The 25,484-nt window shown below is 43.2% G+C and overlaps 1 protein-coding gene across 10 annotated transcripts in view, besides 1 other annotated feature; it reads right to left on the bottom strand.

The window, feature by feature from the left end:
* The window catches only part of TRIM2 (tripartite motif containing 2), a 187,155-nt gene extending 172,925 nt beyond the window's left edge, over positions 1-14,230 (bottom strand). For 4 of the 10 annotated variants that reach the window (XM_011531796.4, NM_001438045.1, NM_001351056.2 and 1 more), the window contains exon 1: positions 13,781-14,059. The gene's annotated coding sequence lies outside the window, so the exon portion shown is untranslated. Of the gene's footprint in view, positions 1-13,122; positions 13,316-13,775; positions 14,060-14,110 lie in introns of those variants that run through there. The other 6 variants (NM_001375515.1, XM_047449953.1, NM_001130067.2 and 3 more) reach the window with 3 other exon arrangements.
* Positions 12,940-13,029: a silencer, noted in NCBI's record as "silent region_15755". NCBI's record gives its function as "represses an Ori minimal core promoter by ATAC-STARR-seq in GM12878 lymphoblastoid cells {active_cell/tissue: GM12878}" and the evidence as "EXISTENCE:reporter gene assay evidence [ECO:0000049][PMID:35858748]".

The following is a 25,484-nucleotide window of genomic DNA, read 5'->3' as shown; positions in this document are numbered from 1 at the left end:
CCAATTACCAAACCCATCAATCACGCAAAGACTCCAATCAAGTGTTATAGAACCTCACTCTTAAATACGAATGGACAGTCAGAGATCACTAGACATTTGTGAAAATAAGAAGTCTGAAACAAATAAACAAAAACAAACAAATGGAAAAAAGGAACTCAAAGGACAAAGAAACAATACAAGGGGTAGAAGAAAAGTTTTTTTAAATTCACTATATTTAGTATCTTCAGAGCAAAAAAAAGCTATTGCATCCGTGAAATAAGAACAGGATTTTTTTTTAAAAAAGAACAAGGAGTGAGCCCTTGGAAATTGAAAGTTTGAAAAGAAAAGATTTCAACGGCATTAAAGATAAGAAAATTAGAGGATCAATCTAAGTGGTGCAGTTTCCAGCCAACTGGAGTTCCAGAAGAGAGAACAGAGAAAATAAAAGGAAGAAGATTAGCAAAGATAAAAATAGAAGACATCTTCCCATAAATGAGAGGCATACATTTCCATATTTAAAAGAGCCAAGTAATCAAAATAATTAATAGAAAAACCCCTCAAATCATGGCAAGTCACCATGAAATATGAGAATACACAGTAAGAAAAAATAGTTCATAAGGAAGGAAAAGGAGAGTGAGGATGGCTATGGAGGACCCAGCAGCAATGGTAGAGACTAGAAGGAACACAGGGCATAGTGGAGAGTGGTACAGAATCATGGAGTCACCTACAAAATTCTGAAGAGAAATAATTTTTTACCTGAGGATTCTATATCTAGCCAAACTAAGAAGCGTCGGGGTAGAATAAATAAATTTTGAGACTTTGGGAGGCTTAGATGGGAGGATGGCTTGAGCCCGGGAGTTCGAGACCAGCCTGGGCAACACAGTGAGACTCCATATCTATAAACAAACAAACAAAAATAGCCAGGCATGGTGGCATGTGTTCGTAGTCCCAGTTACTTGGGAGGCTGAGGCAGGAGGATCACTTGAGCCCAGGAGGTTGAGGCTGCAGTGAGCCATGATCATGCCACTACACTCCAGCCTGGGCAACAGAGTGAGACCCTGTCTCAAAATAAGTAAAAATTTAAAAACTAAAAAGCAAGGGGCTCAAAAATTACCTTCAATGTATCCTTTCTTAAGAAACTACTGGAGGATTTATTTCAGAAAAACAGAATTAAACCAAGCAAGGAAAAGATATGGGGTTCTAGGAAAAGAGAATCTAATGTAGAAGAATTACAAAAGCAAGCCCCAAACAATAGCATCTTGGGGCGGAAATAAAACCAGTCCAAATTGGGGTGGGATTGAGAACTAAGAGAGGAAAATCCCAGAGGGAGTGGAGAAGTGGAACCCATAAAGTGTCGGGAACGTTTTGAATTAAACAAAAAACTTTAATAATCGTGACATATCTGTTGGACCATTTGAAGAAGACTAACAATAAACCCATAGAAAATCTAGTATAAAAAAATGAAGTAATAATTAGCTCTGGATAAAACAAAACAAAAAAAAATCCAGCCTATGAAAGGAAACACAACTATAGTAAACTACTTGACTCAGCAGTGACAATATTTACATGGTCCTAGTAATATAAATACAGACGTAATCAAGACTTGTACTATAAGTAAGTCATAAGAAAGGAAAGACAGAAAGTAGAGTGTAGAAGAGAAAGCTAAGTTCTCATCTACTATAAGTGAGAGTCAACAGATAATACAAAAAATTTATCAATAATCAGTAGTATATGTATATCCAAGGACATTTCAGGAAGGATATGGGAGAGGCTGGTAATACTGGTTGCCTGCCAAAAGAAAATTCGGGAGGCTGGGGACCAGGGTAGGAAAGAGACTTTGATTGTTTTTATCTTTTTTTTTCTTGAATGTTGAACTATGTAAATATATTACTTATTTGAATAAAAGAATGAAAAATGTAACAGAAATAGCAGAAAGAAGACAATTTTTAGAAACATGGAAGCAACTAGCAGAAGAATGGCTAAGAATGTTGAAAGGGGCTGTCTTTAGGGAGGAAGCCTCTTTTAGTAAGGAGAAAAGAGACTGCTGTATTTAGATATAAGCTTTTAAAAGTACCATCTTATTTTTAAAAATTAAGTGCATGTGAGCTGAGCATGGTGGTATATGCCTGTAAATGTAATCCCAGCACTTTGGGAGACTGAGTTAGGAAGATTGCTTGAGGCCAGGAGTTAAAGGTTACAGTGAGCTATGGCTGCACAACTGTACTTCAGCTTGGGTGACAGAGGGAGACCCTGTCTCAAAACAAAACAAAACAAAACAATAAGTACATGTGTTTATATAAGTAAAAAGTTATTAAAACAAAGTTAGAATATGAGAACTGCTTCTTTTCGGGGAGAAGTTAGCTTAATTGTACAGATAAACTAAATTAGATAAACAAAAACTTGCCACAGTAAGAAATCTGTGCAGTCCCAAGCCAAGTGAGCAAAATGCTAATATCATTAATAACAGTTTTTTTGTTTTCCCACAACATTGTCTTAAAAGGTACAGTCTAAAATGGATTTGTATGTGAATAACAAAAATACAGCTTAAATCACAAAGCAGGGATATGTTTCCTAGGCTTCTTTAGTTTGCAGCACGTTTTAAGATGTAAATCGGCTGAGCACGGTGGCTCATTCCTGTAATCCCAACAGTCTGGGAGGCCGAGGCGGGCAGATCACCTGAGGTCAGGAGTTCGAGACCAGCCTGGCCAACCTGGTGAAACCCTGTCTCTACTAAACACACAAAAATTAGCCAGGCATGGTGGCACTCGCCTGTAATCCCAGCTACTCCGGAGGCTGAGGCAGGAAAATTGCTTAAACCTGGGAAGCGGAGGTTGCAGTGAGCTGAGATCATGCCATTGCACTCCAGCCTAGGTGACAGAACAAGACTCTGCCTCAAAAAAAAAAAAAAAAAAAAAAAAGATGTAAATCTAGGTTGGGTGCAGTGGTTCATGCCTATAATTCCAGCACTTTGGGAGGCTGAGGCAGGAAGATAGCTTGAGGCCAGGAGTTTGAGACCAGCCTGGACAACATAGTGAGACCTCATCTCTACAAAACTAATAAATTAGCCAGGCATGGTGGCTCATGCCTGTAGTCCCAGATACTCAGGAGGCTGAGATGGGAGGATTGCCTGAGCCCAGGAGTTGGAGGCTGTAGTGGGCCAAGATTGCGCCCCTGCACTCCAGCCTGGGCAACAGAGCAAGACCCTGTCTCAAAGAAAAAAAAATGATGTAAATCTAGAAATGGATCCCATTATAATTTTAGAGAAGCAATAATCTACAAGTTTCAGATATTTACAGTAACCACTGAGTTGCATTAAATCAACTAAACAAAGCAGTCAAATGTGGCTACATACACTCAGGTAAAGGTTATTTTTTTCCCACAAATTCTTAGAAAAACTAGGGTCTTACATGATAGGATTCCACTTCCAAAAAATCTTACCTCTTAGAAAGACACCCTTTTCACCCTCAGTTCTGGAGAGCATGGTCCATGTCCCAACCTGTTTCTTTAATTCACATAATTCAGTGGTAACTGATCACTTGGACACAAGTGGCCACATGAGAATTCCCCTCAGGTGGCATCTTGGGTTCAAGCCCTATAGTCTGTTGGTGCTGCCTCACTGGAAAGAAGAGCTCTTCCTATTACTGAGGTGTGGTATAACTCAAGGCTACAACAGAGGCCAATGCCTGAAGTCCACTTGCTCTGCCACAGTTCAGAAACTACTGTTTCTTATTTACTCATTCACTCATTGTAATGGCTAATTTTATGTGTCTATGTGCCTGAGCCATGCAGTGCCCAGATATTTGGTCAAACATTATTCTGGGTATTTCTATGGGGGTCTTTTTGCCTGAGATTAGCGTTTTCATCAGTAAAGAAGATTGCCCTCCATAATGTGGGTGGATCTTATTTAACTAATGCAGGTGTCACTAGAACAAAAGGATGAATGCTTTCCTGTGTAAGAGAGAACTTTCCAGCAGATGGTCTGTGGACTTCAGCTGAAGCATCAGCTCTTTCTGACTGAAGGCCTTGGAATTGGAACTCTGGCTTTCCTTGGGTCTCTAGCATGCTGCCCCATCCTACAGATTGGACTTGTCTATCTCCATAATCATATGAGCCAATTCCTTATAATAAATCTCTGTATATATCAATATCCATATCATCTATATCTATATCATCTATATATCTATATGTATATATTTCCCACTGGTTCTGTTTTTCTGGAGAACCCTGATACACTCAATCCAAACAAGTATTTCTTGAAGATGTACTATATGCCAAGCAGTAAGCTAAATGACTAAATGCCAGAATAAAGAGTTAAAACTACAGTCCTTACCCTTGAAAGTTTAGAAATTTGGCAAGAATGCAGACAACAGAAAGCTTTTCCTTAAAGTAAGCTGGCCAAATTGGTCCCACGCAGAGAGAATGTACACACGAATTTCATTTCGGAGGTTTATGCTTAATCATAATCAGAGTCTGGCCATATTTGCTTAAGCACTCATTTTTTTCTAGTGGATGGAAGTTTCCAGTGAAATATTGCAACTTTATGTTCCCTAATAAGTTAGCTGCAGAGGACAATTGTACATTGATTTGCTCTTGATCCATGGAGCAATCCTTGCTAATGCTTTTGTGTGAGTCTTAGACATAATTGACCACCTTGGAATACTGCCCAATATTCAGTCATCTAGGAAATTTGTTGGACCTGCCTTGTAGCAGTTGGCCTGTGAGAACCAAAGGATACAAAGAAAACTAATAAGTGTACTAGCGTTGTCTGTGAGAGTTCTTTGAGCACGAAGCACTCACTAAGCAGGGAACTCCAAGGGGAGCAGAATATTCCCAAGGATTCTGCTGTGCATCATGTCATATGCAGAGTATATCAGGAAAAGCAACGGCTTTAAATTCAGACAGACATGACTCCAACTCCTGCACCTGCTTTTTAACAGCTAGCGACTTTGCAAATGTACTCAATCTCTCTAAGTCTCAGTTTTCTCATCTCTAAAACGAGGATAATAACTTTTCATAGGATAACTGTTAAGGCTGAATGGGATCATGCATGCACAGTGACAAGAATGATGCCTACCATATAGCACGTACGTTCAATTCATGGAGGTTCTTTCTAGCACAAAGCTTTTGTGTATATTTGATTCATCTCTGTGCTTGTAAAAGCAGTAGGGGCTGGTTATAAACATTTGCTTGCAAAGTGTTTCTGTATAAATACAGTCTCCATCTCAAAATTTAGTATTACGTTCTTAGAACAAACAAGCTATTTTAGTTTAAAGTACAACAAAATCTTTGTTCCTTAGAATACTAGAGAATGAGCAGTAAATGGGTGTCCAAAGAGGCTGGCCAATGAAGAGTTAATCACTTTGGCAAGATGAGCATGCCTAGTCTTCCTCTCCCTCCCAGGGAAACATAAAAATCAATTGAAAGAACAGAAATTGAAGTCATTATTGTTTGTGAGCCAGAGAGCTAGCTCCCAACCCTCCCCTCCCCTTTTTAAAAATGAAGCCTGGCCAGGCATGGTGGCTCACGCCTGTAACTGCAGCACTTCGGGAGGCTAAAGCAGGAGGCTCAGATCACTTCGGCCCAGGAGTTTGAGATCAGCCCCGGGCAACATACAGAGACCCTTGTCTCTATGAAAAAAATAAATTTTAAAAATTAGCCAGGTGTGGTGGTGCATGCCTATAGTCCCAGCTACTTGGGAGGCTGAAGTATAAGGATCGCTTGAGCCTGAGAGGTTGAGGCTGCAGTGAGCCATGATCACATTACTGTACTCCAGCTTGGGCAACAGGGTGGGAACCTTGTCTCCAAACAAACAAACAAACAAACATCCCTTGAAGCCTAGATGGCCAGCATGGTGGCTCATGCCTATAATCCCAGCACTTTGGGAGGCTGAAGTGGGAGGATGCCTTGAGGCCAGGAGTTCAAGATCAGCCTGGACAACACAGTGAGTCCCCATCTCTTTAAAATGAGGCCTGGAAAACTCTAAAAATCCCAGTAGTAGCTCACAAGACTTATTTGTTTCCTTTGGAGAAGCTAATGAGATTGGTGATTTTTGCTCGCCTGTCTCAAAAGCGCTTATTTCTAGAACCTTGAAGCTTTGTTGAATCTCCGATTCATCTTTGTGCTTGTAAAAGCAGTAGAAAAGTGTTAGATAACACAGCTTACTCTACTCAATTATAATGCTTAACAAAGACTAACTTAAGGGAATTAAGGAAAGGGGAGAGGGAAAGCAGGGGAAATTTTCAGAGAAATATTTCGCTTAGAAGGTCATAAAAAGATGGTTCAAAACTGCAGTGTAAAGATTGTAACTGACTCATATTCTAAAAATTGCACTAAACAGTTCAGGGAAGTTGTAAAATAGAGATATAACAATGGAAACATTACTCATCACCAAACCAAAAGCATAGCAAAGTTGTAACTCTTACTTAAAATAGCTAAAAATAATGGGTTGTGGGAAAATGTTCAAGAATAATATACTAATGGAAATAGACGATCCTACGTATTTGATAAATATTTTCAAGTACTGAATTTTTTCAAAGTTTATTTCTCGTGGCATCAAATAGTAGGCATAGCTTATTACATAATTAAACTCGGAGCTACTGTTAGCTCTTCAGAAAGGCTGGAGATAACACAATGCTGACCATAAACCACATGGTTTACTGACAAACCATCTTGGGAGACAGTCTTCTTACAGATTTAGAAAAGTATATTCAAATTTTCATGAATCTTTTCAAGTATTAAAGTTTGAGTTACAAGCACAAGAGAGAAGAAAAAAAATCTAAGCAGAGATTCAAATGGTCATATAAGAATTTTTAGGCTGGTGTGGCTCATGCCTGTAATCCTAGCACTTTGGGAGGCTGAAGCTGGAGGATCGCTTGAGCCCAGGAGTTCAAGACCAGCATGAACAATATGGCGAGACCCTGTCTCTTCAAAAAATAATTTAAAAAAATTAGCCGGGTGTGGTAGTGCACACTTGTGGTCCCAGCTACTTGGGAGGTTGACACGAGAGGATCACTTGAGTCCAGAACCAAGCAGCAGTGACCTATGTTCATGTCACTGCACTCCAGCCTCAACAACAGAGTAAGATACTGTCTCTACAAAAAAAAAAAAAAAAAAAAAAGATTTTGTAAAAACTCAATGAACTTCTAATGTAAAGTGGTATAAAAATGCTTTCACTTCCTAAAGCCACCATAGGGTGGCTTCGTATGGTCTTGAGAACAAGTTCAAAGTCCTCATTCTGATATTGAAGTAAGATACAGTTCCGTTTTATGTCTTTGTCCTGAAAAAAATACTCATCACAGACTAATCATCTGTATGCAATGAACAGTGCCGGACACTTTATATCAATTTTCTTTAATCCTTAGAACAACCTGCAATGGCTCAGTTGTTCATTTACAGATAAGAAAATTGAGACACTGCATCTTAAGCAAATTGCTCAAGGTCACACACCTTTGAAATACAAACCCCAACCACCGGTCTCCAAGAAGAAAGCCTGTCTTCTTTCTCCCCATATCAAATGAGTTGCCAAATCCATGCTCCTGCAGCCTTTTGAGCCACTGCTCAAGCTGTTTGCCTTTAGGTGAAAAGTATTTCCACCTTCTCGGCTTACCTTTCCAGTTCTAGATCACCGCTCAAAGCCCTAGAGCCAGCACTCATAACCTGATTGTGTCCAAGAATATCAGTTTCCCCTCTTCTAGCCTTGGTGTAGAACAGGCTATCCGCACCACTTGTCCCAGCATTTGATTAGCCAGTCTAGCACTCCACCTGACACTGTCTTTGTTTTATTTTTTATCTGTTTTTTTTTAATTGTGCAAATCTTTCTTCTAAACATGATGGCAAGAGCTAATGTTTTAAAATTGTCACATGCTTCCTTTGCTTTTTTTCATTCTCAGTAGGAACAAGAGTGATTATTTAACAGATTTAAAGTTTCCTGCATTTTTGTTGCCCATTACATATCACTATACCTTAGGAGGAGAATTTACTTTTTGATTTGCCACTATACAATGATCAAAATAATCTACTTTAAATAAAATTTCCAATGAAATTGTTTTTACAAACCAATTATAGTTCATAGGATTGCATAATTGAGCTTTCCTAATATTCTTACTAATTTCATATAATAAGAATTATTGATCAGGACAGGGATGAATTGAATAGTTGCATTTTAGCCAACAGTATGAAATTTCCCCTTCGTTGATTTTTCTGCTACCACCACAACAAGGTTCAAAGCAATAGACTGGGGTTTTACCTTCTCTCTCTGTCCCTGGACACACTTAAGTAGATCTTCCGTTAAGTAGTCAATTTGTCAAAAAGAAAGAGCCAACAGGAAAGCTCTAGAATAGAGAGGCAACCGGGTAAACTACCTCAAGAAAAAACACAAACTGACTGTGTAAACCCTGGCTGACAAGCTCATAGGCCAAAATTCTCCATAGGGAACCTGTCATTATCAAGCCAGAAATAGTCAGAGCCTGACATTCCAGGTGCCAGTGCAAAGCAGTGGATGGTATTTAACCACTGCCCTGGAAAAGAGGACAGGAATACTGATCCCCAAGGTTGGTCTCATGCCTGAAAGGAGCACGTAGGAAGAACCTTGTGTGCAGCCCATTTTGGGGCACAGCTTTGAGGCTGCTTAGTGGCTCGAAGCAAGGCACTGTGAGACTGTTAAATGGGTGTCAGAGCACCCCACTATTCATCCCCTGCTCCTCAGGATCTGGTCTAGCTGGGGGCAGAGGGTAATGCAGTGGAATGTGCTAATCTATGATTCCAGGAAAAGAATCAACCACATTTTTTACGCAGTCACTAAGAGAGAGGGAGAGAGATTATGCCAGGGTAGAGCATCTCAGCCCGAGCCTATGGTTTTGGCAACTCAAAATTGGGGCTGATGTGGCTTCTGCTCCTCCAAGAAACATATTTCTGTGTTTGACAACCAGAATCCAACCAAACAGCTGGATCTTACTTCCTTTCCTTTTCCCTGGGCCATTTACACATTCTAACTTCAAAACTCCCCTTACCTTCTCATTGATAGTGAAATCTTTGGACCACAAGCCAAAGATTTGACTTTGGAGAACCAAGAGGCTGGCAAAAGGACTGGAGACAGCATGGCCATGGCTTTGGGGTTTTTCTTTTTTTGTGACCTTTGGAGGGGAACCTGACACCTGCTCATAGTCGCTCTGGTTTTGCCTGCTTAGCCTGTGGGAACTGAAAACAGGCAGCTGCTTAAGGATGTTGATTTAATTTATATACAGTGCAACCTTGCTAAACAACACTGTTTTGAACAAAGCTGGCTTCTGTGTATCAGCACTGGAGTAAGTGCCCATCTCTTCTGCGCCACATCTCTGCCACCTTGCACACACAGGTCTCTCTGCCACCCTGGAAGGCTGTCAGTGCCTCATCATTGGGAAAGAAGAGAGGTGTCACCCTGGTCTTAGCACTACAGCAGGGTGGGCAGGCAGGGGCGGGGAATGCTAGAGAGGCAGGTGATCTGCCTTCCTGTTACTTCACCACCTGGCCCCACCATCCAAAGTACAACAGCCCTAACCCACAGGGGAGAGGCAGGGAGAATCCAGTCAACTCTCAGTGCTAGTCCGCCTGGATTTGTTGTACCTCTGGTCAAGATAGTCTTGTCTATGCAGAGAGGTGTCGATTGCTCCTCTTTGGTGATGGAGACATACTATACTCCGTGGCTTGTGTGGCTTAGAGAGGCTAGAGGGAAATTCAAGAGATGAGTGAACTGGGAATTTTAGAGTCTCATTTGTAAGAATCATACTTCAACAATGGTGCTGCTTATAAGCTTATATATATGATCAATCCATACTCCTCCCCTCCCCTGCAAGAGATGGGGCACCAGGAGGCAGCTTCAGGACACTTCCCAGGCCTCCTGAACCCCACTCACCCCATCTACATCACCAGTGGAGGGAGCAAGGGAGCTGTGAGTGGCGGATGTGGGGGAGGTGGCAGGCGTGGTTAAGAATGGTTAGAATTCTCACTGTCTCAGAATCTCCAGGGGGCAGCCTCCTTAATTTACAGCCAGGGTAAGATTAGGGAACTAGAAACGTTCCTTTATTCAAACAATCCAGAGAGATCTATGGAGGGGTAGACACTCGGCCAGGAAGACATGACATGCCTTTAAAAAGACTGAGGCCAAGAGATGTTTCTTCAGGTTAAAAAGAAAGCATCAAATCATAAAACTGAAGCTAGAAGAGGCCCCGGGAGAGCTCCCATTCACACCCGTTACCCACAAAGAAGGCAAAAGTCTGGTTGCAGTTGCCTATCTGGATGAGGGGCCAGCTTCGGCTGGGGTGTTTTGTTCAGCAAGCACGAAACATTTTAAAATGCTTTACCCTTAATTAGTTGCCAACCTCTAAAGATCTGGAGATGTCATATTCACAAATGTAAAAACCAAAAATTCCAGCTTCCCTTGGCAAATCAGAAGATCTGGAGAACATTGAGTGTGGCTCACAGCTGCCTCCTCAGCAAGTGAACCCCAGCAGGTCCTGGCCCTCCTTGGATATCTATGCTCCCTGCCTGGCCCTGCAGTGGTAGACTTTGTCCTCTTAGGCATGGACCAACGTTTCTCTACCTAGTGTTTTGCCTAGGGAGCTCCTAGAACATATCCATACCTGGGCTTATACCAGTTAAGTCAGAATCTTGGAGTCTGGGGAAGGATCCAGGTTCAGAGGAGTTTTTAAGTCCCCAGGTGATTCTAGCCTGCAGCTAGGGTAAAGAATGGCTGGGCTGGGGCCATGAACGGCAGATGATAAATTGTTCACTTCTAGACGCCTCTTGGTGGTTAATTTTACTTTTTCGCCATTTTGTAAGTTTTTCATTATATCCAATCAAAATCTGGTTTTCTCTTACTCCATCCTTCTCAGCCCCTCACACATTTGACAGTAACGAAGTCGCCACTCCACCTTCTCTCCCTAAAACAGCCTCGGTTCTTTTAGTCTCTCCTCTTTCCACCTCATTATTTGATTTCCCCATTCTGAACCCCTTCCCTCCAATTTCTGCATATTCTTTTTAAAGTACAGTGGACAAAATTAAGAACAATACCCTAACCATTATTTTACTAGAGTAGAATTCAGTAGAAGTATTTATTTCTAGTTTTGATATGTCATATGTAATATTTCAGAATCACATTTATTTCTTTTAACAACACTTCTACTTAATCATCATCTGGTTTTTATTAACAAGAAACTCATGTGCAAAAATCTGAGAAACCCCACTCTGAGATGGAAAACCAAAATTTGGGACACATTTTTTCTTTCTTTCTTTTTTTTTGAGACGGAGTCTCACCCTGTTGCCCAGGCTGGAGTGCAATGGTGTGATCTCGGCTCACTGCAACCTCTGCCTCCTGGGTTCAAACAATTCCCCTGCCTCAGCCTCTCTAGTAGCTGGGATTACAGGTGCCCACCATTACGCCTGGCTATTTTTTGTATTTTCAGTAGAGACGGAGTTTCACCATTTTGGCCAGGCTGGTCTTGAACTCCTGACCTCAGGTAATCCGCCTGCCTCGGCCTCCCAAAGTGCTGGGAATACAGGCGTGAGCCACTGTGCCTGGCCAATTTGGGGCAAATTTAAGCACCAAATGTCAAGCATTATTTTTGAGGCAGACAGACATCAATCTTTCCCCAGGGCCATAACCTGATAAATAAAATTAAAGAGACCATATGTGTCCATATGGACACCATGTGTGTACAAGCAATTGGTTAGTGTATTTTTAGGCAAATTCTAAGCTATACTGATTACTACTTTTCTGAGGATTATTATATTTTAATTTTTCCACTTTGTAGTCTTTCTGTCTTTTCTACTTGCTCTCATTAAGCCAATCCTCCAATGTCAGGTTAAAAGAAAAGCTGCTTGGTGGGAGATGGAAGACACGCAGAAATCGTAGCCTATCTCTTAGGCTAGGAGTTAGATATTACTTTGATGGATATCTGATATTATCCTGTTACACCCATTATATGGATGAGGAAACGGAGACCTGGAAAGTTTAAGTAGTTGTTCACTGTTCATTGCTCACACTCCCAACACAGGGTCCTGGCTCTGGTAAGCCCCTCTGGGGAAGGTGAGGTCTTCCATTGGCTATCAGCCCCTGACCGTGGAGGCCAGACACCACATCAAGAAACCTGAGCCTCAGAGACTGCAGTAGTTAGACTTCAGGTCCGCCTGCCTCTGTATCACATATTTGGGCCTCAGCCAAATCAACACAGAAATGCACTTGAAACATTAAACAGGACGTTCTGAAACCACGTGACTCTGTGAAACGCTCCTCGGAACCTTTAGGGAAGGGCCGAGTTTCTTTAAGAAATGTGTAAACGACAGAGACACACACCCTTGCATGATGCCAGCTCTGTAAAATTAAAACCTTGTCTGGAATTAAATATAAAACTGAGTTGAACTTCAAGATTCCTTTTAGCAATCTATAGTAAGGAAAAAAAACCACACCCCCCACACTCATATTTTGGGGAGAAAGGAGGGAATTGAGGTCTTTTCACTTCATGTCTGCCCTCTTAAACCCCTTGTGCGAAGAGAAGGAAGAAACGAGTTCTGGGCGCGGCGAGAGACTGAGGCCTGCAGGGCTCTGAAATCCCAAAGGCGCTGAGATCTCAAAGAAACCCAGACGCGCCCCCTCCGGGGCCCGGACTCAGCGATGCGCGCCGCTCCCTGAGACGCCGCCACGCCCGTGTCCCTGCAGGACCGGCCGCAGCCGCCACTGCGCAGCGCACAAAGGTCCCCACGGGCTGGAACACTGGCCTCATCTCGTTTCGAGCCAACCGTAAAACGCGCCTTCTCTCCATCTTCAAAAAGGGCCGGAAAGATCGGGGGCGGGACGGGGCTGCCTGCCCTGGCTGCCTAGGCCAAGGTTATTTCCTTTGTGTGTGGATCCCCAAAGCATAGGGCGGTTCCAAGCCCGGCGCTGGCAACCCTGCACTCAACGCCCCCGTCTGCAGCCTTCCGGGCTGTCGCCTCCTCGCCAGCGCGCACCACCTCCAGACGAGGCGTGGCGACGCGCGTCTCGGGGCCCTCCCGCAGCCCCGCCGCACGCGCGCCCGCCTCTCCTATCCCTGCCTTTCCGTCCCCGCCACCGGTCTGGAAGCTTTAAGCGCCTAGCCGCCTGCCAGCAGCGCGGGGGACACAGATACTCACGTTTCCAATTGCGTCCCGAAGCGCGCACTGCCCCCGCCGCTGTAATTAGAAGGACAGGAAAGGGCTCTGAGAGCTGCCTTTCAGGCAGCGAGAGGTGACAAGCAGGCGACCAGCTGAAAGCCCCTCATTTTCTGCAAGCTCACTCAAAATGCTCCTCAGTGCCGCCAGCGCAGCTGCCAGGTTTAATAACTGTGTCAGACCGCCCGCCCCTCCCCCACAAGGAGCCACAAAGATGACAGGCGGGGAACTAAATCCGCATGCCTAGCCGCAGTCACCCGGCCTCAGCCCCAGCGACGCCGCCGCTGAAGTGACTGTGCAGGGAAAGACCATGAAAAGGTGCAAATGCCAGCCTTGACCTAGGAATTCTCCAGAGACCACTTCCTTCACTCCGAGCAGAAATCGGATCCTTTTCCCAACAGTATTTCTGAAACAAAACAAGAGGCAGGCGCCTTTCCAGTTAACCTAACATGCATTTCAAATGCAAAAGGCTCTTTCGCAGCAACACTCGTCCCTATTTCTACTGGATTTCTGGGTATCGGTGGGATATTCTGCGCACCATGCAAAGCGTAAGAAGCTCATTCAACTGCTCTGCTCCCGTTTCAGTCGCGCGCACCAACACTCGTGTCTGTCCCCAGGACCCTGGCCAACAGAACCTTACTGTCTGAGGGGGCTCCTTGGCAGTTCCTCGTCGATTTGGACCATTTCCAAAGCACGGGCAGCTCCTTGATAGCGACTCAATCTTGTCAAGCAGGAAGGAATCAGTGGTTCTGTTTTGCAAGTGGAATATCAAAGTAAAGTACTCCACCGAAGTTAGAATTTTATAACATATATATATGTGTGTATATATATATATATATATATACACACATATATATATGTATAAAAAGACTGATCCCGAGCGCACGGCAGCCCGGCGACCACGCCCCAGGCCCCGAGTGCCCCGACTCCGCCCAGAGAGCCCTTCCCCGCGAGGCCCAGCCAGCCGCACCTGCCTCTGCGGGGGGTGGTTTCCCGGGAAACTCCGGAGAGCCTGTTCTCCCTCCAGACACGCGGTTCCCTTGACAACTGCGACTTAGCACTAGGCCTTCTAAGAAGAATGTCCATGAATGCCTGTTTTAAATCACAGATTCAAAGAGATTGACGAGGGTGGTTGGGCAGGAATAAGACGGCAGTGATTTGGGGGAATGGAAGAGGGGCCGCGCGAGCCTGAGTGGGGTCAGTGGCTATCGCAGGCGAGGGACTGCGTCGCTCGCCCTTCCCTACCAGTGAGTTAATACCTGGCTTTAGAATGAATTCCATCATTCCCTTCGGCTTATTTCCTTTTCTCTATTTATTTTCCTTAAGATACTATTTAAACAGTTATTTTGCACTGACAGAGCACTAGCTGGCTCCAGGTAGGAGTGAGGAGAAGCCCATAAAGATGTATGAAACAGAGGTGAGACTTCATGGGAATAATATTTGGCTATAGATGATCTCGTGCACAGAAATTCAAGAATTGTTTCAAATACAGTCTTGCATCATCAGGCCATGATGCTTATGAAATTTCACTCATGATTTCAGTCGGTTTCTATGGAGAAAAGAGGAAGTGTAGATGAGACTATGCATATTTATTAAACATTTAAATGTTCACATGCCACCTGGTTCCTTTTGTTTTGGTTTTGTTGTTGTTTGTTTGTTTGTTGAGACACAGCTTCACTCTATTGCCCAGGCTGGAGTGCAGTGGTGCCATCTTTGCTCACTGCAACCTCCGCCTCCTGGGTTCAGGTGATTCTCGAGTCTCAGCTTCCCGAATAGCTGGGAATACAGGCGTGAGCCACCAAGCCAGGCTAATTTTTGTATTTTTAGTAGCGATAGGGTTTCACCATGTTGGCCAGGCTGGTCTTGAGCTCCTGGCCTCAAGTGATCCGCCCACCTTGACCTTCTCAAGTACAGCTATTACAGGTGTGAGCCACTGCCTGACCTCTATCTTGTTACTTTTGGTTACAGACATATCATACTAATCACACCACAAATAGGCGCTAAAAGGTAAAATGAAACAAGTTAATGAGCTTGCATCTAAGGCATAAGAAGATTGTATATAAAAAAAATTACACATGCCCCGTACTGGTTTATCCTATGATCAATTATGTATTCCGTATTTGAGCTATTAAAAGTTAAAGATCAGTGGCATGTTTGAATTAATGAGATTTTACTATACACATTATGGTAATATGATTATATTAATCTCTGGGTTGAGACTGAAATATGTACATACAAATGCATCCTTTAAAAAGTCATAAATTCATTTCTGAAAAGTTTCACATGCATCCAATTTTCACAAAGCAAGTGATATTTCCATATTCTAGGGAAACGGTTTATGCAAAATAAAACACACAAGAAAATTTCTTCATAAAGCAAAAAAACCTTTTTGTTAAGAAAAATCATGCGTGTAATCCCAGCACTTTGGGAGGCTGAGGCGGGCGGATCATGAGGTCAGGAGATCAAGACCATACTGGCCAACATGGTGAAACCCTGTCTCTACTACAATACAAAAAAAAAAATTAGCCAGGTGTGGTGGTATGCGCATGTAGTCCCAGCTACTCGGGAGGCTGAGGCAAGGGAATCGCTTGAATCTGGGAGGCAGAGATTGCAGTAAGACAAGATCGCACCACTGCACTCCAGCCTGGCGACAAGAGCGAGACTCCAACTCAAAAAAAAAGAAAGAGAAAAATCATCTAATTTCTGTTTTTAAATTTTGTTTATTTATTTATTATTTTGAGATGGAGTCTCACTCTGTCACCCAGGCTGGAGTGCAGAGGTGTGATTCTGGCTCACTGCAACCTCTGCCTCCCAGGTTCAAGCCATTCTCCTGCCTCAGCTTCTCAAGTAGCTGGTGCTCACCACCAAGCCCAGCTAATTTTTGTATTTTTAGAAGAGTCGGAGTTTCACCATGTTGGCCAGGCCTGTCTCGAACTCCTGACCTCAAGTGATCCACCCATCTCAGCCTCCCAAAATGCTGAGATTACAGGTGTGAGCCTGTGCCTAGCCTAATTTCTGTTTTGAAAATTCACATGCTGTATCCTGAATCTGCTTTGAAGCACAAATTTTGTAAACATGTGACACACATGTTTATTTGCAAATGGAGATCCCTAAAGCAGAAATATGTATACCCAGCAATAGAATAGACATCCCTACATAGGCATCTCCTAATACATTTCATGTTTGAGAAAACAGAAAATTCTAAACAGATCATCTTCACTTTTAACAAAAATTAACAATGAACATTGTAGAAGTCAGTTAAAAGATACTAAGAATGCAGTCATTGAAAAATGTCTTTCTAAAGGATAATTAAGAGCAGGACGATTATATTCAGAATATTATATTAACTGATAATATTAAGTGAGATTCAAAACAGTAGATAGTTGTGATTCCAATCTTTTTCAAAATTATATGTGTGTATACTTACGACTATGATGATTTGAGGGAATTCTTGGCTTTATACTTGCCAATTTTTTTTCTTTTTCCTTTCATCTTTTTCTTTTTTCTTTTTTTTTTTCTTACTCTGCCCCCCAGGTTGCAGTGCAGTGATACAAACATGGCTCACTGAAGCCTTGATCTCCTGGGCTCAAGTAATCCTTCTGCCTCAGCCTCTCTGAGTAGCTGGGACTACAGGTGTGTACCACCATGCTTGACTAATTTAACAAATTTTTTTTTTGTAGAGACAGGGTCTTGCCATGTTGCCCAGGTTGGCCTCAAACTCCTGGGCTCAAGCAATCCTCTCGCCTTGGCATCCCAAAGTGCTGGGATTACAGGCATGAGCCACCATGCCTGGCAATATTTTCTATTTCATTTTATTTTCTATTTTATTTATTTTAGAGACAAGGTCTCGCTATGTTGCCCAGGCTGGTCTTGAACTCCTGGCCTCAATCAATGCTCCTGCTTTGACCCCTATATTTTCCATGACAAACATTTCCATGGAGAGCAGTGTGGTAGAGTGGTTAAGATGGTAGATTCAAAGTCAGAGGCCAGGTGCAGTGGCTCATGCTTGTAATCCCAGCACTTTGCAGGGCTGAGGTGGGAGGATTGCTTGAGGCCAGGAGGTTGAGACCAGCCTGGACAACACAGGGAGATCTTGTCCTACCAAAAATAAAAAATTAGCTGGGTGTGGTGGTGGGTGCCTGTAGTTCCAGCTACTCGGGAGACTAAGATGGGAAGATCCCTTGAGCCTAACAGATTGAGGCTGCAATGAGCTTTGACTGCATCACTGCATTCCAGCCTAAGTGGCAGAGTGAGACTCTCTAAAAAATAAACAAACAACCCCCCCAAAAGTCGGATAGATCTGGCTTTAAATCTCAGCTGCTACTTCCTGTGTGTTCTCATTTGAAAAATGGGATTAATAATAGCACGTTACTCAGCATGGTTGGAAGGATTAAGTGAGATAATGCCTGAAGAATACTCAGCACAGGACCTGGCACATGGAAGAATGTGCTCATTTTGGCAAATGTGTTTATCCTAATTTGTAGGCTTTTTTTTTTTCCAGGATTTTAGTTCTACATTGCACATTTTTGACCCTTCAATTAGACCTTCTTTTTATTCTTCTCCTTTGTCTTTGTCTTTCTTCTTCTGACAGGATCTCACTGTGTTGCCCAGGCTACAGTGCAGTGGCGAGATCACAGCTCATAGCAGCCTCCACCTCCTGGGCTCAAGTGATCCTCCCACCTCAGCCTCTTGAGTAGTTGGGACCACAGGCACATGCCCCCACTCCCAGCTAATTTTTTAAATTTTTAATAGAGAAGAGGTCTTGCTATGTTGCCAAGTGGGTCTCGAACTCCTGAGCTCAAGCAATTCTCACCTTGGCCTCCCAAAGTGCCCAGCCCACTATTATTAATATTTTATAAATGCAACATTGCTTATATTTGTACACAGTTTTTACCTATATTTCTCATCATTCCTTTTTGCTTCTCAGAATGTCCTTCTGGGATCATTCTCCTTTTCCTTAAAGTACATCCCTGGGAAGATTCATAGAGTGTTTTATTACTGAATTATCTCAGCTTTGGTTTGATAATGTCTTCATTTTGGTTTTGTTCTGATATACAGTTTCACTTGACATGATTTTGGGGTTCACGGTTATTTCTTTTTCTTTTTCTTTCTTTTTTTTTTTTTTGAGACAGAGTCTCACTCATCGCCCAGGCTGGAATGAATGCAATGTTGTGATTATGGCTCACTGAAGCCTCTATCTCTTGGGCTCAAGTGATCCTCCCACCTCAGCCTCCAGAGTAGCTGGGACTGGAGCTGCCACATGCCTGGCTAATTTTTTGTATTTTTTTTGTAGAAACGGGGTTTCACCATGTTGCCCAGGCTGGTCTCAAACTCCTGGCCTCAAGCAATCCACCTACCTTGGCCTCCTAAAGTGCTGGGATTACAGATGTGAGCCACCACGCCCAGTCTCATGGTTATTTTCAAGTAATACTTTGAAATATAATTCCGCTGTCTTACAGCTTCACTGTTGCTATTGAGGAATCAGCTGCCATCTAATTTTTGCTTCTTTTTCTAGTTAATCTGTCAACTTTAGGTGTTTTGCTTCATGTTATGCTTGTATTCCACTATATTATTTTTACAAAATGTCAAACACACTTATTTAATATTCCATACCGATCACTCTAGTATTCAGCCTTTGCAGGTTTAAGTCAGCAGCTTTTTGTCTCAGCTGACACTTACTCATGTCTTATTTTCCTGTTTATTTAGTGGTTTTTATTTATGGTGAATTCTTGTATCTGGAAGCTTTATCCTGTGGGAACTCTGTGTTAAAGTGCAATGCCCAGGTAGGTGAATTAGGAAGATTGAGACACTTCCCACATGAAACCACTTTAAAATAAATTTTATGTTTAAAGCTTTCAAGCCCAGTAGCAAGTGTACATTTCAGGTTCACACACTTGTGAGTTGGAGCATATGGTTGGGCAGTTCTGAGCATTTCTCCATACTTCACCCAGAGCCAAGCCTGAGATAGGTAACATGGTGTTATGTAGGTACATTTTTCCCTTGTATAATCATTGTGTTGCTTTTCAGGGGTTCTGGCTTCAGATTGGGCATCTCTTATCTGGCCTCCAGCCCTGCTCAAGCCCCAGGCTTTTTATCTTCTTCCCTTGTATGTGGCTCATTCAAATTCAAACCGTAAGCCATGGAGGGTTGGCAGACATTCTCCACCCCCACCCATAAAAAGGCCTGCTCTACCCTGTTTCCCTCCTGCAATCAAGCTTTCTTACAGTTCGGCCTTCTTCTTATTCTTCTTTTTTTTTTTTGGAGATAGAGTCCCGCTCCATCGACCAGGCTGGAGTGCAGTGGCGTGATCTCAGCTCACTGCAACCTCCATCTCCCAGGTTCAAGCAATTCTCCTGCCTCAGCCTCTGGAGTAGCTAGGATTACAGGTGCATGCCATCATGCCCAGCTAATTTTTGTATTTTGGTAGAGACGGGGTTTCACTAGGTTGGCCAGGCTGGTCTCAAACTCCTGACCTCAGGTGATCTACACACCTCGGCCTCCCAAAGTACTGGGATTACAGACGTGAGCCACTGCGCCCAGCCAGTTCTGTCTTTTATTAACTTTACCATCAGCCAAGCAGAGCTTTGAAATAATAAGACAAATAATCCAATTTAAAAAGTGGGCTAAAGATTTGGACAGACATTTTACTAAAGAATGAACAGGCATGGTGGCTCATGCCTGTAATCCCAGTGCCTTGGGAGGCTAAGTCAGGGTGATTGCTTGAGCCCAGGAGTTTGAGACTAGCCTAGGCAACATAGTGAGGCTCCGTCTCTACAAATATAAAAAATAAAATTAGCTGGGCCTTGTGGTGCACGGCGGTAGTCCCAGCTACTAGGGAGGCTGAGATGGGAAGATCTCTTGAGTCAGGGAGTTCAAGGTTACAGTGAGCTATGATCATGCCACTGCACTTCAGCCCGAGCAACAGAGCAAGACTTGTCTGAAGAAAAAAAAAAAAAGATATACAGGGATAGCAAATAAGCATATGAAAAGATGCCTAACACTATTAGTCATTAGGGAAATGCAAATTAAAACCACAATGAAATGCCACTATATGAGAATGGTTAAAAATCAAAAAGACTGACAATATCAAGTATTGTCAAGAATGTGGAACAACTGGAACTCTCCTACATTGCTGGTAGAAGTGTAAAATGGTGTAGCTGCTTTTGGAAACAATTGAGCAGGTTTCTTATGAAGTTAAACATACACATACCATATATATTAGTTTTCTATCGTTGTAACAAATCATCACAAACAGTGGCTTATAACTACATTTATTTGTTAGCTCACAGTTCTCATGGTTCTATAGGTCAGCAGGCTTGAACATTGTGGCGGGTTTTCTGCTCATGGTATCACAGGATGGACTTGAAGGTGTTGACTGGGCTGAATTATCTTCTGGAGGCTGTAGGATGAAATCCACCTCCAAGTTCATTCAGGCTGTTGGCAGAATCCAGTTCCTTGAAGTTGCAGGACTGCAGTCACCATTTTCCCTTTTTTTTTTTTTTTTTTTGAGATGGAATGTCACTCCTGCTGCCCAGGCTGGAGTGCAATGGCACGATCTCGGCTCACCACAACTTCCGCCTTCCAGGTTCAAGTGATTCTCCTGCCTCAGCCTCCCAAGTAGCTGGGATTACAGACATACGCCACCATGCCTGGCTAATTTTGTATTTTTAGTAGAGATGGGGTTTCTCCATGTTGGTCAGGCTGGTCTTGAACTCCCGACCTCAGGTGATCAGCCTGCCTTGGCCTCCCAAAGTGCTGAGATTAAAGACGTGAGCCACCGCACCTGGCCTGCAGTCATCATTTTCTTGCTAGCTGTCAGCTGGGGCCTCTCTCAGCTGCTAAGGCCACCCACATTCCTTCTTAGGGGAGTCCTTCATCTTCAAGCCAGTACGGATGCATTGAATCCCCCCTGTGCTTCAAATCTCTCTGACTTTCTTTTTTTCTTGCCAGCATTTAAAGGGCTCACATGATTAGATTAGATTCCCTCAGATAATCTTGCTTTACCCTGTAAGATAATCATGGGAGCGATAGCTTAAGTTTTATAATCATAAATTTGACCCATAATCAAAGAGGTAGTGATTATCAGAGGGCTAGGTCACTAGGAGTCATTTTTAGAGCTCTGCTTACCATACCCAGCCATTCCACTCCTAGGTATCTACCTAAGAAAAGTAAAAACATATGTCTACCCAAAGACTTGTAGGTGAATATTTATATCAACTTTATTCATAATAGCTAAAAACCAGAATGAACTCAAATGTCCATGAATTGGTGAATTAATAAAACAAATCGTGGTATATCCACTCTGTAGAATACTACTTACCAAGAGAAATACACAGACTCCTGACATGCATCACAAGAAGAAATCTCAGAAGCACCATGTTACATGACAGACTACATATGATTTAATTTATAGGAAATTTTAGAAAAAGCGAAACAGGAGGCAGATCAGTGGATGCCTGGGGTCAGAAGGTAGCGGGAAGGGACTGGCTGTAAAGGGGTACAAGGGAACTTCAGGAGTGATGGACGTGTGCTATGTCATGATGTGGTGGCAGTGACAGGACTCTATACATTTGTCAATACTCATTGAATTGTACAGTTAAAATCAGCGAATTTCATTGTATGTAAATTATAACAACAAAATTGGCAAAACAGTCTTTTTTAAATACTTCATTCAGCAGTTTAAGATGCTCTATATTGGGAGTTTCTCTACACATTTAATTCACAAAATTCACGTGAGACTTTCTTAACATGCCTAAATATGTCTATATTTTAACCGATAGCACTTACTGTAGGTGGGCTTGCATAGGTATTTGATGATTACCTAGCTCCCTTGTGCTAGACCGTAAACCCAAGTGGACAGGCCACCATTGTACCCATACCTGGCACATACTGGGCCTTTAAGAAATATTTGTTGAATAAATGCATAACCCCTCCCCCAGAGCAAATCTGAACACTGGAAAATCTGATTATACATCTTTCCTCCAGCTGATCTCTGATTACCTTCGATTTCATTACTAAAATCTTTTCTGAGCCACAAATGAAAGTGGGAGAGTTAGAAATCTTTCATTTAACCCCATTATGTTATAGAAACCACTTATCCTGGCTGCATTTATCTGGGCTGCATGCCCAGTGTGCACTCAAGAGTGTCACCATATGGGCTGAGATGGAGGACATTCAGCAGCCAAGGGCTGCGTCTGTGGGCTGCTGTGTCTGACCTCGCTGATCTCCTTCCATTTCCAGTCTTCTTTTGTTACCACAGACTAAGCATCCTATTTCACCTCAAGGCTTAAATCCAAGGTTTTCCTTTTAATGCATACATAATTCGTCTAAGCATTAAAACATAGTATTAGTCAGAGGGCAATGTGATTGGAATCAGGTGAGAAATCAATGGAAGCCAAAGAATGCAGAGGCCTTTGGGCTGGAGCCAACAGCCCCTTCGGAGAGGACTGAGGCCAGGAAGGCACCAGACGTTTCTCTGTTTAGGGAATGAATTACATCATCCATTCATTTGACCTTGGTCTTCAGTTACTTATCTATAAATGCCACACCCTCCTCCTTTCCAGGTCAGAACCAAGGTGCAAAAATGCCAAATGCCAAAATCCTTCCTGGTTATTGTGATCGATCAACAGGAAAAAAACAAAACAAAAAATAACAACAACAAAACACACACACAAGAATCAGGCATTTCTCTTGTCTTTGTATAGAAATCTGTAAGCACAAATTGTATAAATTTGGTGGCTTCTCTTAAAATGTAATGTAGTACACATTGGCTATTTGATACCCTGCATCTATATTCTCTCCTGGATACAAGAACACAGATTTCAAGAGTGAATTTGGCTTGAGTGGGACTGAACCCTCCCCAAGTGCCTGGAGTGGTTTCTGGCTGGCTTAAACCAATGGGCACACCCACCATGGCCCCAAGCCAAATGGACTGGTTTGGAGACTGGCACTACCAAATCAGAGGCAACAAGCCAGGAGGACATTTGCCGGGGCTTTTGGGAAGAATAAACCTATTTTATAGTAGCTCTGAAAAAGAGACCACCCTTTTTACCCGAATGGTGAATTTTGGAGCAGCTACAGCCTTTTTCCAGTAATCGAGATCCTGGAGCAGCCTCTGGGGCCACCTTGTGGAATCTGTGGATAAAGCCAACACCATATAAAGCAGATTGAGGACAGAAGGCAGGCTGTTGGTGACATTTTTTGAGCTGCTGGATCAAATGTCACCTGAAATTATTACCTTTAGAGTTTTAGTTACCATTAAGTCAATAAACTACCTTTCTCTTATAGGCCAGCCTGGTTTCAATTTCCTTTTGTATTTTGTGCAAATCACTTTCATTTGTAATTTTTTTAAAAAATTTTTATTTATTTATTTATTTATTTATTTATTTTATTTATTTATTTTTTGAGACAAGGTCTTCCTCTGTTGCCCAGGCTAGAGTGCAGTGGCGCCATCTCAGCTCACTGCAACCTCCGCATCCCAGGTTCAAGCAATTCTCGTGCCTCAGTCACTGAGTAGTGGGGATTACAGGTGTGTGTCAACACACCCGGCTAATTTTTGTGTTTTTAGTAGAGACGGGGTTTCGCCATGTTGCCCAGGCTGGTCTTGAACTCCTGAACTCAAGTGATCTGCCTGCCTCGGCCTCCCAAAGTGCTGGGATTACAGGCGTGAGCCACCATGGCTGGCCAAGTCTGTTCTTAACCAGTTCTCCATACTCTTCTCAAGTCAAACCTGTCTACCACAGTTGAAATCATTCCAGTATTTCATCCAAACAACAGTCATTCATTACTACCTTACCCTAATCCAACCGGAGATCATGAAAGCTCTTTTCTGTAAATGAACCACCCTCCACCTGCCCTGAAATTCCTGCCACTCTTTGTCTCTCAGGGCTGACACAGAGGAGGAGAGAACTCCTTGCAGAAGTGGGAAAGTTGTGGGTTTGGAGATTCACACTTTGCTTTCCCACCCATCAGTTAAAATCTTGGGCACCCTCAGTCGGAAATCTCCCTTTCGCAGACCAAAGCAGGCAGCTCCTTTGGAGAAGCCTAGAGCCCTTCCACCTCCTCTTCATTTCTGTGGCTGCCTGGCAGCTGCTGGCTGCACACCTGTGCACAGGGCTCCATTGTTTTCCCTGTGCACTTGTCTCATGCTTTCTCTTAAAATGTTGCCCCTTCTCATTCTTGAAGCACAAAAGCACATAGCATGGGTCTAATATATTGTCAACAATTTTTTTTTTGAAATAGAAAGAAAGAGGCTGGGCATGGTGGTTCATGCCTGTAATCCCGGCACTTTGGGAGGCCAAGGCGGGTGGATCACCTGAGGTCAGGATTCCGAGACTAGCCTGGCCAACATGGCAAAACCCTGTCTCTACTAAAAATACATATTAGCCGGGCATGGTAGCACATGCCTGTAATCCCAGCTACTCTGGAGGCTGAGGCAGAAGAATCACTTGAACCCAGGAGGCAGAGGTTTCAGTGAGCTGAGATGTATCACTGCGCTCCAGTGTGGACTACAGAGCAAGACTCTGTTAAAGCAAAAAAAAAAAAGAAAGAAAGGGAAGGGAAGGGAAGGGAGGAGGGAGGGAGGGAGGGAGGGAAGGTAGGAAGGAAGGAATGAAGGGAGGGAGGGAGGGAGGGAAGGAAGGAAGGAAAAGAAGAAAGAAAGAAAAAGAAAGAAAGAAAGAGAAAGAAGGAAAGAAGGAGAAAGAAAGAGAAAGAAAGAAAACAGAAAGAAAGAAAGAGGAAAAGAAAGAAAAGTATTTGAACAGCAGTGTGGTCTGTCACTGGCTGGCTGGTTCCGCAAGGGGAACTGGGATTTTTGCAAGCACCTACCCAGCTCCTCTATGCATGTCTTTTTTTTTGAGCTGCCCCACACTCTAGTAGGCAGGTATCTTATTCCTATTTTACAGATGGGGAGACAGGAGGACTTGCCCAGGGTCACAGAGCAGTGGTGTGGCCACTCTTTGAACCAGGCTGTGTGGTTCTAATGCTTAGGCTCTCATACTGCACCACCCAGGGAAAAGCCAGGACTGTGGGCTGGGGGCAGCTGGGCCTTCAGGTTGAGAATGAGAAGCACTGCCGTACCAAAGGCCACCAGGATTGCCAATCAAAGCAGGAATTAAGTCCCCACGTGGCACCTAATAAAAGGCTGAGGAGAGCATGGCCTTAGAGTCAGGAGCAACAGGGAGGCCAGGCACAGTGGTTCGTGCCTATAATTCCAGGACTTTGGGAGGCTGAGGTGGGAGGATGGCTTGAGCCCAGGAGTTTGAGACCAGCCTGGGCAACATAGGGAAACCCTGTCTTTAAAAAAAAATTAAAAACTAGCTGGATGTGATGGCATACACCTG

This window comes from Homo sapiens, chromosome 4, assembly GCF_000001405.40.
Source record: "Homo sapiens chromosome 4, GRCh38.p14 Primary Assembly".
In the NCBI taxonomy this organism is placed as follows: Eukaryota; Metazoa; Chordata; class Mammalia; order Primates; family Hominidae; genus Homo; species Homo sapiens.
This window is presented reverse-complemented; position numbering and strand designations above follow the sequence as displayed.